At 44.3% G+C, this 15,137-nt stretch overlaps 1 pseudogene, besides 1 other annotated feature; it reads left to right on the top strand.

Annotated features, from left to right (window-relative positions):
* On the top strand, window positions 7,191-7,426 carry RN7SKP280 (RN7SK pseudogene 280; annotated as a pseudogene).
* Window positions 11,281-11,535: a silencer, noted in NCBI's record as "fragment chr7:154977681-154977935 (GRCh37/hg19 assembly coordinates)". NCBI's record gives its function as "represses an EF-1alpha promoter that drives an FKBP-Casp9 reporter gene in an ReSE screen in HepG2 liver carcinoma cells {active_cell/tissue: HepG2}" and the evidence as "EXISTENCE:reporter gene assay evidence [ECO:0000049][PMID:32094911]".

A 15,137-nucleotide genomic window follows, 5' to 3' on the forward strand; every position in this document is an offset into this window, starting at 1 on the left:
GAATCCTCAGGTGCTCACAGCCTGCTTCACACCACTTAGCTCTGAAGGTGACCATTTTCTCTTTCTGCCACATGCTTTGGGGCATATGGGGAAGAAAAGGTTATGATCTTTCTGTGTAGGAGCTCATCTAGGAGGAGAGTACAGGTAACACAAGAGGTGTTTGATATGTATTCATGTCATTGAAAAGGAAGATTCCTATTAATAGAAAAAGTTGTCCTCTGTTGCCTACCCCCCACAAATATTCATTTAGGTTTTGATGTGTAAAGAAGGGTGCACCAGACCCTGAAGGCTTTAACATTCCACCCTACAAAATACTTGGGAACGGTTACTTAAGATGTCTACATAAATTGATTCCCTAACATTGTTGGGGTCATAGACCTCTCTGAGAATCTAATGAAAGCTGTGGGTCCCCTACCTAGAGAAATGCACACACATGTGCGTGCGCGCACACACACACACACACAGACACACACACACACAGGCTTCTTGGATGCCCTGAACATTCCTCTCTGAATGAAAGGAACAACTTCAGAGGCAGACAGACCTGAGCTTAAATTCTAACACAACCTTTCTTTCAATAGCTGCAACTCTGCAAGACATACTTACCTTTGCTGGATCTGTTTCCTTGTTTTTAATATGGAGATAATACCTGCTTATAGGGCTACAGTAAAGATGAAATAAGGTAATGTCTATAAAGCACCCAGCACATAGTATGTGTTCCAACACATGGTACCTGGTGACTTCCCCTTTACCAGCAAAATATATTGTTCCCCAATAAGTTATTAGGCGTGTTAGACATACAAAGTTAGATAAAAAAAAGAAAGACATTAAATAAAAAGTTTGAGAATTCTTGCTAAAAATAAATAAATAATCTTCTCTACCACATGTTTTCTCTGAGGCTTTGGTTTAAACTCTCGATGTGGTTCTACAAGTGAAAGAAGGAGGATGTAGCAATTTCACTTATTTATCTGACCTTAGAACATTGTCTCCATGACCATCATCTGGACCCAATCTGGGAACTGTGGCCCTGATGGTCAGTATTTCCACTAAACTGCCAACCTCATGGAGAGCAGCACCAATCTTATTCACTGTTTGTTAGAAGTTAATCAACCTAAAGTTAGAGGTCCACACGACAATCTGACTTCTGACTTTAATTATATAGGTTTGGGGAATTCCCCAAAACACTATCATATTTGCTCTAGAAGCCTTCACAGAACTCACTAAAAGTTGTGAAACTCACAGTTATGGTTTATTACAAGGAAAGGGTATGGACTGGAATCAGCCAAGGGAAGAGATACATGGGATGCAGCCCAGGAGAGCTCCAAATGCAGAGCTTTTCTTGTCCTCTTCCCACAGAGCCAGGACAGCATCAATGTGTGACAATACCATGGAGCATTGCCAACCAGGGATGCTCACCAAAGCCTCAGTGTTAAGGGTTTTTGTTGGGGTTTCCTTGCATAGGTGTGGCTGATTGCCCATATAGCTAATCTCAATCTCTAGGATCTATGACGGTCTGCTGATACCACAGGACTCAAAGCCTCCACCATAAATCAATTGTTGATGTTTCTGGGTGTGGCCAACACCCACTCTAGAACTATCAAGTATGGCCATCCCCCACCTTACAACACATTTTTAGATTTTACTGTGTGGCCAAGACTCCCAGGTGAACAAAGATTCTCTCATCAGGTATGACATTCAAAAGTTTTGAGCTAGCCAGGTCTCTTTTTATGGCAAGTGTAAATTTTTTACTGCACATTGTTATATCTTGATAACCAGAACTTGGTGGATCCTCAATGGTACTTTGTTGTATGGATGAATAATAAATATATTTGTGGAATTATGAAAGGTCTTGTTAAATCCCAAGCTGCTTGGGCTTTCCTGCCAGTTCTGTTGTCCCCAAACACCCACTTCTTATGCTAATTACTGACTCACATATCTCTTATATAAATGTACCCTAATCAATAGCTAAGCAAACCTGCAAATTTCAAATTCAACATCCTTTCATGACTAAAAGTCTCTTATAATGAATAAAGGAGAAATTCCCTAAATCTCTACAGAATATCTAAAAAATACTTAAGAAAAATGTCATTTACTTATTAAAAGCTTTCCCTCAGAAATCAAGAATTAGATAAATGTGCTTACATCACCACTCCTACTTAACATTATACTAGAGATTCTATTCAGTGAAATAAGGGAAGAAATGGTAATAAAAGGCCTAAAAAATGGGACAAAAGAAGTAAAATTTGTAATGTCATTATTCACAAATGACATCATTGCACATGCAGAAACTCCAAAAGAATCTATAGACTATTAGAATCAATAAGTGAATTTAGCAAGGTGTTATGGTTTAATATGTCTGTCAAGAAGCATGTATTGAAAATTTAATCTTTAATGCAACAGTGTTAAGAAATGGGACATTTAAAGAGGTGGTTAAGCCACGAGAGCAGAGCCCTCATGGATTAATGCCATTATTGAGGGATGGGTTTATTATTGTGGGGTGGGTTCTTTATAAAAGAAAGAGTTATCTCCACCCCCCACCCTCTCTTGCCTTATGCCACAGAATGACACAGCAAGAAGGCCCTGCCAGATGTCAGCCACTTGACATTGGACTTCTTAGCCTCCAGAACTGTGGGAAATAAGATGGTTTTCTTTACAAGTTACCTAGTCTCTGGTATTCTTTTATAGCAGCATGAAATGGATTAAGAAACAAGGTTACTAAATAAAAGGCCATATATGATAATCAGTTGTATTTCTGTATACTAGCAAAATGAGTAGAAAATAAATAAAATGCACACAAAGCAGAATAAGAAACTTCAAATACCTAGGAATAAATCTAGTTAAAGATATGCAAAATACATACACTGAAAACTACAAAACATTACTGAAATTAAATAAGACCCAATAAATAGAGAGATATACCATGTTCATGGATTGGAAGACTCAATATTATACATATGTCAAAGCTCCCAATATTGACTTACCAACTCAGTGCAATACCAATAAAAAGCCTAGACATTTGTTTGTCTGTTTAACTCACAGGCTGATTCTAAAGTGTCTATGGACATCTAAAAGACCAAAAATAGTGAAGTCAGTCTTGAAGAAGTAGAACCAACCTGGAGGGTCTGCTTGACCAGATGCCAAGACCTATTTCAGAACTGTAGTGATAAAGACATTGTGGTGCTGACAAAGGATAGTAACTAGACTGGTGACTAAAATGCAGAGTCCAGGAGCAGAACTGTGTCAGTTGCCTATCGCTGTGTGACAAACTTCCTCACTACTTATCTGGGTCAGAAATTCAGAACAACAACAGGGGCAGTCCACTTTGCTCCACAATGCCTGGTCCTTCCCTGCAATAGTCCAAACATCAGAGAATTGGCTGGAACAACTAACGGCAATGATGTATCTAGGGCTTCAGTTCTTGATGTCAGTTTTTCTCTTCACTTCTCTGGGTGGCTAATCTGGGATGCCTCCTAGCGTGATGTTCCCAGGGCAGTCAGACTTTTCATGCAACAGCTGCTTTCCCCTACCATAAAAGTGGAAGCTACCAGATGTCTTGAGGCCTGGCCCACAATAGGAACAGCAGCACCCACATCCAAGCTCTGTTGTCAAGATAGGCTATAATCCTGCTTGGAGTCAGGGAGAAGTGAAATGGTGAGAGAGCCTTCCTGTCCTGATGAGTGGGGTGCATGTATGTGCAGAGTGGCCATCTCAGAAGACCATCTGCCACAGCCCTATATTTGTGCAGGCACCTATTTTGTGGCAGAGGTAACACTACAATGCAGTAGAGAAAAGATGGCTTTTTCGATAAATGATGCTGGGTCAAATGGACATCCAAAGGAAAAAACAAAATAAATTTTGACCTCTACTTTACACACTATTAAAAAATCAATTATAGAAGGATTGTGGATCTAAGTATAAAAGATGAAATAGTAATATAATTAGAAGAAAGCCTAGGGCAATTCCTTTCTGTTGTTGGAACAGGCAAATATTTCTTAAGCAGGACACACAAAATACTGATCATGAAGGAAAAAGATGATAAATTGAACTACATTCAAATTAGGAACCTCTGATTATAGAAAAGGAACATTAAGAAAGAAAAAAGACAAGCCACAGAGTAAGGGAAGATATTGCAACACATACAGGGCTGATATTGAGAACATACATATATTTTAATGGTCTATAAATCAATAAGGAAATGGTAAGGAAACCAATATAAAAATTGAGAAATAAGAACTTCATAAAAGAGTATATTCAAATGGCCAATACACATATGAAAAATTGTTCAACTTCATTAGCCATCAGAGACATGCAAATTAAAACCACAGTGAGATACCATTTTACAACCAGCAGAATGGTAAAATGAAAAAGACAGACAAAACGTTTGTGAAGAATTTAGAACATTCATCCACTACTACTGGGTATGAATTGCTACAGTCACTTTGGAAAATTGTTTAGCAGTATCTACTAAGGCTGAACACACATAAACCTCTGCCTGAGTAGTTTCACTCCTAGGTGTACATCCAATAGCAAAATGCATAAATATATTCACCAAAACACATGTATAGGAATTGCACAGCAGCACCATCCCTAATAGGCCAAAACAGGAAAAAAAAAATCAAATGGTTAGAACAATAGAATGGATAAATAAACTGTGGTACTGTCTATTCATGCAATGGACTATTCTGCAGCAACACAAGCAAATGAAGTACTGAGACACACCACATCGTGGATGAGTCCCAAAGACATATGAGCAGAAGGAGCCAAATATTTAAAAAGTACACTTTCTATTATTTTACTTAGATAAAGTCCAAAATCAGGCCACACCAATCTATGTTTGGTGTGTCCTGACAGACAGGAGAGGGGCTGTATATTAGTCAGGCTTCTCTTAGAGAGACAGGCCTAAAAGGATAGATATGTATTTATAAAGGGGAGTTTATTAAGTATTAACTTACATGATCACAAGGTCCCACAATAGGCTGTCTGCAAGCTTGAGGAGCAAGGAAAGCCAGTCTGAGTCTCAAAACTAAAGAATGTGGAGGCTGAACGTGGGGGCTCAGGCCTGTAATCCCAGTCGTGATTTTTTGGGAGGCCAAGGGGGGCGGATCTCAAGGTCAGGAGATTGAGACCATCCTGGCTAACACGGTGAAACCCTGTCTATACTAAAAACACAAAAAATTAGCCAGGTGTGCTAGCTGGCACCTGTAGTCACAGCTACAGGAGACTGGGGCAAGAGAATCGCTTGAACCCAGGAGGCAGAGGAGGTTGCAGTGAGCCAAGATTCTGCCACTGCACTCCAGGCTGGCAACAGATTGAGACCGTCTAAAAAAAAAAAAAAAAAAAAAAAAAAACTTGGAGTACGATGTTTGAGGGCAGGAAAGGAAACATCCACCATGGGAGAAAGTTGTAGGCTGGGAAGCTAGGCCAGTCTCACCCTTTCACATTTTTCTGTCTGCTTTACATTCACATGAAGCTGATTAGATTGTGCCTACCAGGTTAAGGGTGGGTCTTCCTTCCCCAGCCCACTGACTCAAATGTTCATCTCCTTTGGCAACACCCACACAGACACACCCAAGATTAATACTTTGCATCCTTCAATGCAATCAAGTTGACACTCAGTATTAACCATCAAAGGCTGGCTTGGGAAGGGACAATTACCTAAAGGTTGCAATGCGTCTTCTGAGCTGCCAGAGCTTCTTGTGTCTTGAGCTGGAGCTGGGCATGTGGTGGTTCATTCGCCATGTGACATTACTTGAGCTGAACTTGTCATTTGCATATTTTTCCCTGTGTGTGTGTGTGTTATACTTCAATCAAATTTAGTAAAATAAAAGTAAAAAGCTCTTACTCATGTATTTACTTGCTCAAAATACTCCATTTTTCACAATTACACAAATTAGAAGAGAGAAAAGGGGGAGGTTTGTATGTGAGACCAAGAGAGAAAGGAGACATAGAAAAAAATAAAAATTAGTATTTTTACTGAAAGTGGTAAAACTATCTAAGACATGAAAGGAAAAGAAGGTAATTCTGCTTCCCTGGTTGTTATTGTAATTAAATTAAGTTTTTGCCATTAGAGTTGGGAATGTCTCGTTCTCATTATATTTTATATATAGGCCATGAAATCACCCTTCCAGGACACAGAAGAGGAAGTAAATTGGAATTATTTTTAGTTCTCATAAAGGTTCTAGCCTCAAACAGAAAAAAAGGTCAAGTTTAATGATTCCTCAAAGCACTAAACTAGAAATAATTTTTTAAACTCCTTTACTGTGTCATACCTAGGTCACTAGAAGACACTGTATTTTCATAAGAAATTGCAGCTACTGTCTATGAGAACTCTAATTTTCTGTACAAACTGTACCAGTTTTTTTCCACAGAAAAATTACTGCACTTAGTAGAAGAAAAAAATTCTCCCTAAAAATGAATTGGGAAATTAAAGTGTAAGCAACAGCATGAATTAAAATGAATTCTCCAAGAGAAAAGTAGAACTGGATTCCTACCTCACCCAATATGTGAAGGGGGGCTTAGATGAAGGGAAAGTCTACACATGAAAGGTAGCAATGTGGAGTTCACAGAGGGAAGTTCAGGAGAATATCTTCATGATCTTGAAGGGAGGGAAGGATTTCTTAAACAAAACTTCCAAGCAAAAATACTGTAAGGCACACGCACACACATAAACGCACATACGTGCATATGATTACATAAAAAATAATGGTTTCTGTTCAAAAAAAGACATCATCGGCAAACTAACAGAAGACAGAAAGATATTTTAATCCTCCAAACTGCAATTAAAAAGAAGTCTTGAAGATCAACAAGAAAAAGATGGTGACCCCAACATTAAAGACGGGTAAAGGAGGCTGGGCACAGTGGTTCACGCCTGTAATCCCAACACTTTGGGAGGCCGAGGCCGGCAGATTGCTTGAGGCCAGGAGTTCAAGACCAGCCTGGCCAACATGGTGAAACCCAGTCTCTACTAAAAATACAAAAATTAGCTGGGTGTGGTGGCTCACACCTGTAATCCCAGCTATTCTGGAGGCTGAGGCAGGAGAATCGCTTTAACCTGGGAGGCAGAGGTTGCAGTGAGCCAAGATGGCACTACTGCACGGCAGCATGGGTGACAGAGGAAGACTCTGTCTCAAAAAAAAAAAAAAGATCCAAATCCACTGGTTTACAGAAGAGGAAACCCAAAAGGACACCCAGGATGTGAGGGCGATCTGGTTGTGACATATGTCACCCCTTGATCCCCAGGGTTTATTTGGCGATCTGGCTGACTAGGCGGGTGTCCCCTTCCTCCCTCACCACTCCACGTACATCCCTCCCAAAGCTGCACACTCCGTTGAAGAGGACGACCATCCCCAACAGAGGAGGGCCAGTCTTCGGTCAAGGGTATATGAATAGCTGCAATCCCCTGCTACAACCTCCAAACAAGCTCCCAGAAGGACATCTGGCAAATAAAGAAACATGCACACAACTAATTATCAGAGAAACACGAGCTGAAACATTGTGATATCACTTCACACACTTTTGATTGGCAAAAGTTAGTGATTTGGAGCTGCCGAGGGCTGAGAGGCTTGTGGGCAGCACAGGTGGAAGCATGGCTGGAGTGGCCATTCTGAAGTATGCTTTGACACTGCTTGGTCAGGTAGACCTGCACATACCCTGTGACCTGGCAGAAACACTCCTGGGGATGCACCTGTGGCCAGCGGGACGGCGGGTCCCATTCCACCTTCGCTGTCGTAGATTACACACCCACACCCTTTCCCCTGTGGCTCTGATGCTCCTCACAGCATGGGTGGAGCACACTTCCCCACCCCATTGAGTTGGAACTGTCCAGGTGACTTGCTGGGGCTGGTGGACTCTTAACAGGACAAGACAGAGGTCTCAAGTGTGCTATGTGTTTCGTCTTCATCTCTTGCGCTGCAGCCATTCATAAGAACATGCCCTGGGTAGCTCCTGGTCCAAGGAGAGTGAAGAGAGATGGGAGCAGACCTTAACCCAGCCCACTCTACCCCCAACCAAGCCCAGCAGGTCACCTGGGTGTGTCTGTGAGTGTGCTGCCAGAGGAGACTGACATTTGAGTGGGTGGACTGGGAGAGGAGGATCCACCTTCAATGTGGTGGGCACCATCCAATCGGCTGCCAGCGCAGCCGGAACAAAGCAGGCGGAAGAAGGTGGAATCACCTTACTTGCTGGGTCTTCAGGCTTCCTTCTTTTTCCCCTGCCAGATGCTTCCTTCAGCTCCTCCTGCCCTTGGACATCAGACTCCAGCTTCTTTGGCCTTTGGACTCAGAGACCTGTACCAGTGGCTTGCTGAGGACTCTTTCAGGCAGCCTTCAGCCACAGACTGAAGGCTACACTGTCAGCTTTCCTGGTTTTGAGGCTTTTGGACTAGGACTGAGCCACTACCAGTTTCTCTCTTCCCCAGCTTGCAGACGGCCTATTGTGGGACTTCACCTTTTGATCCCGTGGGCCAATTTTCCCTAATAAACTCCTTTTCATATAGACATGTATCTTACATTTCTGTCCCTCTGGAGAACCCTGACTTATACTCCGGCCAACCACAGATCAGTGAGAAAGAGAAGAAAATGCTTGTTGCTGTAAGTGCCTCAACTTAGGGTGGCCTGTTACACAGGGCTTCTGCAGCAGTAGCTGACTGCTGAGCGGCATGTACAAGGAGATTTACACAGCATCACTTCTGCTGACCTGGTACAGTGGGTTGAATGGTGGCCCCCAAAAGGAGTGCCCACCCGGAACCTGGGAATGGGACCATATCTGGAAAAAGTTCCTTGCACCATTAAGTGAAGGATCTGAAGATGAAGCCATCCTGGACCAGGTGGGCGCTGACTCCAATGGCAAGTGTCCACAGATGAGAGAAGTGGGGGAGACGCACAGACCTGGACTATTCTCCAAGAGAAGCAGACTTCTTTGTTCATTAATCCACTGCATTGTTGGTCCCTTTTGTAGCGTGGTTTAACTTTACTCCAACTACTACCTTTTAAAGAAAAATCCTGCTTAAATAAATGAGGAACACACAGGTCATGGAGATCTGGCTATGGAACAGTGAGTTCTAGTCTGGAGTTTGGACTCTGGCATGTCCCATCCTGCCACCTGAATAGTTTGTCCAGGATTCCCGGGACACAGCTTCTCTGAGGGAATCAGCTCAGCCAAGGAATAAAGGCTCTCTACCCACTCTCCTGGTGAGCCCAGTGAGTCAGAGCCAAGGCCTGGGGCACCACTGCCTGTGCACTCCACCTGCCACCCTCTAAGCAGCAGTTGTCTCTGATGTGTTATGTTGTGGGGGAGTGGTACAGATGAGAAGAGCTTCCAGAGCCTCCCCACAGTCACATCTCACACTTTCTCAGAAGTCAGTAATTCCTTGAAAGGAAGCCTCTTCCTTCGCATTGAGGATATAGAACCCATATACTGTTCACTATATCTTTCTGTATTATTTTGTTAACATTTGCAACATATATCCTTAACTTTTCACACGTTGCTTAGCGTTAATTTTGTACTACTTCATGTAAAATATAGAATCCTTGCAACTGTATGGCTCCATGTACCCTGCCCCCTCCTTGAATGTAACTGATATGCATGCCATCTGCAGATGTTATAACTGGGCTCACTGGGCTCACCAGGAGAGTGGGTAAAGGGCCTCTATTCCTTGGCAGAGCTGATTCCCTCAGAGGAGCCGTGTCCCCGGAATCCTGGACAAACTATTCAGGTGGCAGGATGGGACACACCATATTTATTCTACACTCACACCCTAAGTATTAAGAGGAAAGTAGTCCTTTCAATGTACCCATTGATTTAATATTTCTGAAGATCATCACCTCTTTCTAAAGATCTAGATTTCCATCTGGGATCTCTTTGTTTTTCAGTTTGAAAAACTTTCTTTAACATTTTTACTAATGGCTAATTGTCTTAGTTTTCCTTATTTGAAAATGTCTTTATTTTATTTTACCTTCATTATTGAAGGTGTTTTGTTTTGTTTTTGAGATGGAGTCTCACTTTGTTGCCCAGGCTGGAGTGCAGCGGTGTGATCTTGGCTCACTGCAACCTCTGCCCCCCAGGTTCAAGAGATTCTTCTGCCTCAGCCTCCAGAGTAGCTGGGACTACAGGCGCGCACCACCACGCCTGGCTAGTTTTTGTATTTTTAGTAGTGACAGGGTTTCACCATATTGACCAGGCTGGTCTCGAACTCATGACCTCGTGATTCGCCTGCCTTGCCTTCCCAAAGTGCTGGGATTACAGGTGTGAGCCACTGTGCCTGGTCCTGAAGGATATTTTTGCTGAATATAAATTACTGGGTCAAAAGGATGTTTTTTGTTTTGTTTTGTTCTCATTTTTTCCCCTTTTGTTCCTTTAAAGACATGGTTCCATCATCCTCTAGCCACCATTGTTTCTAATGAGAAGTCAGCAATCGTCTGAATGATTATTCCAGCCCACAGCATATCAGGAAAGAGAATTCACTGGCTAAAGTTTAGCCTCAGTCCACTCAAGCCAGCTTCTTGGGTAGGTGTAATTCCTCCTCCCTTCCACACGTGAGCAGCTTCCTAGAACACCAAGCTCAGCGTGTGCTTCTCACATCGGAAACTTCATTCCTGTTGTCTCTGCCATCTCTAGTGCTATCCTTCCCTCTCTCTCCTGTAGACTCCCAGTCCCTTCTTCCTTCACACCTCTTCCCAAACACTACCTCCTCCACAAATTCTTTCCTGAAGGATAGTCTATTGGGAAGCCTCATTGATGTGTGGGGTTTTTTTGTTTGTTTTGTTTTGTTTTGAGACTTCCACCTGCTTGGGTCCAGGCATCCTCTTGGCAGAAGCAGCTACATTTAACTGAACAGAAAGATTCATTTGGCACCTACAAAAGGCACCAGGCCCTATTAAATCAGTCAGAGTGCATGGGATTGTCACAGTGGTTCCATTTCATTGTCACTTCTATGGAAAGATCTGCTTAAATAATATTCTATTGTTTGAAGTAAAGTCAAGCACTCCCTTCCCATCTGTCTCCTGAAAAGCTGCACCATCACACTAATGGGAAGAATAACTGTAACTTGACCCTTTCCAATGGGACTCTCACCCCACTGAATGCTGAAAAACCTTGGACATTCCAGTTCAGGGCCTGGCCCCTCAACCTTCCTTGCCAGTTATATCTGGTTGTAGCTCAGCCTCTGTAAAGGAGTTTAGGAAAACTGCACAAACTCAGAGGATATCAGCCCCACAAGAATGCCTTCACTTCAGACACCAGCCATAAGTTCAGGGATCCCATGACCACCCTCAACCTTGAACACTTGCTAGAATGACCTACAGAACTCAAGAGAACGCTGTTCTTAACTATGACAGTTTTATTGTAGTGAAAGGATAATAAATTAGAACTAGGCAAAGCCAGAGATGCACAGAGCAGAATCTGGAAGGGGTTGAACATGAAGCTTCTGGTCATCCTTTCTCCATGGAGCTCTAGATGTTGTCACCTCTTCCCAGTAAACATGGAATGCTGTCTGCCAGGGAAGCTGCCCTGAGCCTCTATGTCCAGAGTTTTTATTGGGGCTCCAGCATCTACTGTCCATATGGACAGACCTACTGCTGTCTCCATTTCCTCCAGGGGTCAGAACTGAATTGTCATGTCCCAGAGCCCTCATCATAAGTCACAGCTACACTGTCCAGTAGCCAAAGCCCCCAGGCAAACAAGACACTTCTCTCCAGGAAGACATTTCAGTGACCTGGGGGTCACCTCCCAGTGGCTGAGGGCAAAGGCCAGGCCTCTCTTTAGCCAAGGTTAATTCTTCATTACACAGTTTTTATTTCTCCATTAGAAGAATTATAAAATATTTTATTTTCTTTCTGCTTTTAAAATTTTTCTATAATGAATTTTTTACTTACATAATTCTTGTTAAGATGATTGTGAGGTGGGGCTCACAAGCAGGAGAAACTTCTTTTCAGTGTAGCCATTGATTTAACATTTCTGAAGATTATCACCTCTTTCTAAAGATCTAAATTTCCATCTGGGATCTTTTTTTTTTTCAGTTTGAAAGACTTCCTTTAATATTTTTACTAATGGCCAATTGTCTTGGTTTTCCTCATTTGAAAATGTCTTTTCTCAACCCCAGCTGGGCCACTAAGCCACAGAATGACAAGGTTCTCCCTAGGGGAAGGGCCTCAGAGGTGAAGAGCAGAGACTCGAGCCAGCCACACAGACCCCCACCACCGACCTCATTCACCAAGAGGAGTGCTCTGTGTACTGCTTCATGAATGGCAGCTAGTGTCCTTGACTGTCTGATTACTCCAAAACATTTACCCACTCTCAGCCTAGTCAAATTCTACTCATCTCTGAAGGCCAGTTCAAGTTCGTCCTGCATCAGGAAACCTTCTGTGACTGTCTCTTGCCACCCACTCTCCTGATGCATGTGCAATGAGATAGAATAGATGGTGGGTTTGTCCAAATAATTTGCAAATAAGTTGTCACCTGACCTCGCAGAAGTTTCCGACACCCTGATCCCATGCATGGTCTCACTAAGAATCTACATTCAGACCAAGGCCAAGCTGGGCCAGGTCCTTCCTCCTTGTCCCCTAAGCACCTGGCCGGGCTGCAGGCAGCAGGCTGTCAACCCACAGCAGCTGACGTGGAAACTGAGCTGTGTTTTCCTCCAGCATCGTCTTCTCTCATGAAGCGGCATCTGCAGTGGCATGGGAGGCAAGCCCGGCCCCTTCACGAAACTAGAGGCCACAGAAAGAGCTGCTGCCTCTCCACGCCAATGCCAGCAGCTCTCCTTGTCTGAGGAGGGATGATCTGGCTGGAGATCCCCACGACTTTGGATGGGAGGAACTGTCCTCAGCACCGAAGAGGCACCTGTTCAGTTCAGAGCACAAAGTGGGAGGTTGCAAAAGAGCATTAGCCGTACTCGCCCAGGAGGTCTGAGTGCTGCGCTAAGTGGCCCATGGGAACCTGAGTTCCGTGGGGTTGACCATGCCTGGGGAACTGAGGCTAGGAGGGGCCCCAGTGCCACTGAAAGAAGGGGGCATCCATTTCCTGGCATCTTGGGGAGCCTGAGGGTGACCACAGGGCCAACCCCACTTCCCTGCTGTGCCCTCTGCTTTGGGGGTGCTGTGTAATCTGGGGCTGAGGAAATGTATGGGCCCAAAGGAAGGGCACCAATGTGTCCAGACCACCCCCACACAGCTGCTCAGCCCATGCGTCAGGCCAGGTGCAGAGGACGTGGCTTGGCCTCCAGAAGGTCTGATGGGACCTTTCTCTCATGTGTGCTCCCACACTGGGTGTCCCTGTTGGGGAAACCCAGGCACTCACCCCACAGCCCCCACCATGAGAGAGAGAGAGAGGGCCCTTCTCTATGTGGCGTCTGATCTGCAGGCTCCCTCCTGAAGTCTCTCCAGAGGAGAGCTCTGATGTAGGGATGTCTGCGTTGGGTCTATGTCAATCCATAGTGGATTTTTTTTTTTTTTTTGAGACGGAGTCTCACTTTGTTGCCCAGGCTGGAGTGCAGTGGCCTGATCTCAGCTGACTGCAACCTCCGCCTCCCAGGTTCAAGCGATTCTCCTGCCTAAGCCTCCCGAGCAGCTGGGATTATAGGCGAGCACCACTACGCCCAGCTAATTTTTATATTTTTAGTAGAAATGGGGTTTCACCATGTTGGCCAGGCTGGTCTCGAACTCCTGACCTCGTGATCCACCCGCCTCAGCTTCCCAAAGTGCTGGGATTACAGGCATGAGCCACCATGCCCAGCCCATAGTGGATATTTAGGGCAATGCTGCTGCCAGCCTCAAACGACAGGATGTGGTCAGATGAAGTTTGTATTTGCCTTCTTAATGAACAGTCAGTTACTTAGACACTTTTCTAAGACAAAGAGAAATGTGACTTTGGGTTTATGACTCATGTCTCTGAAAAGGATAAAATGGTCATACATAAATGAAATCAATACCTGTACCCCACCTCCACACACCCTTTTTCCTCTCTAACCTCTCCCCAACCCTGAAGACATTAGATATTCAATTCTTGTTATTTCCAAGTTCCAATCCCAGCTGCCCTAGACAACTTTCTGATGCTGACTTGGATCTGCCTGTAGGGAGTATTGCTTTGTGGAAGGGACTTTGAGTTTTGTGGTCCCCATACAGTCAATTCCCATGTTAGCCTAAGACAGCCAATGGCATTTGGTCTTCTGTGCCCATCTTGCGTGCTTGGCTAATGTGAGTTGTGTCTCAGAGACACAGCGACCCACCAGCCTTGACATAAATACATTTTATGCAGGCTCCAGGCCTGGCCTGACTGGGGCTGCTCCCCGAGGCAGTGAAGGGCTCCCCAAGATCTCCTCACAGGCTTTTCGCTGTCCTGACAGCACTGCACTGCAGCCTGCAGCAGGAGTCGTGTTGCCACACAAGTTGTGAAGGTGCATTCAGTGTCATTCTAATTGCCCAGCTGCAATGTGGAGAGGCTGCATTAAGGTAAAGACCCCGAATTGCATTAGGCTGCTGGGAATGGGACTTGATCTCTAGGAAAGTGGTTCTCAACCTCGAACATGCGTCAGAGCCGTGGACACTGACGGCTGGGCTGCCCCAAGGTTCTGACTCAGTAATTCTGGGCTGGGGCTTGAAATTTTGCATTTCCAACAAGTCCTGCCCTAACTGTTCTAGGGATAATCCAGGGTTGATATTGGATAATCCAGGGTTGATATTGCATCATCAAGGAATTTGTTTCATTGCAAGGCCAGTAAGTATCACCAGTTTGTAAGCAGCTTACTATTTCTGTATCATCTCGTATTTCAGGCATGAGAGCGGAGGCGCCTCTGCCTGGTGAGCTGAACAAAAGTGGATCCACTTCTATCTGGACAAAGGCCCACTGCCAGCTTCACCTTCAGATTTTACACATCCTCTTCCTCAACTTTAGAGTGACAACAAATGTAGTTCACACATATGAACCAGTGAGTGAACGTGTGCAATGAAAATGCGCTTACATTTAAAAATCAAATTGCAGCAGGCCTTTCTGAGCTGGGCAGACCCTGTGCTGGGTCTACGACAGCACATCCCCCTCAGACGTGGCCCGCACGCCGCACATAGCCCAGCGAGGGGCGTTCTGCAGAAACGTCAGCGAGCTCATGGCTAACGTGCTCAGAATAGACACTGCCAGCTAACTTCCAG

The sequence above is a fragment of the Homo sapiens genome, chromosome 7, assembly GCF_000001405.40.
Source record: "Homo sapiens chromosome 7, GRCh38.p14 Primary Assembly".
In the NCBI taxonomy this organism is placed as follows: Eukaryota; Metazoa; Chordata; class Mammalia; order Primates; family Hominidae; genus Homo; species Homo sapiens.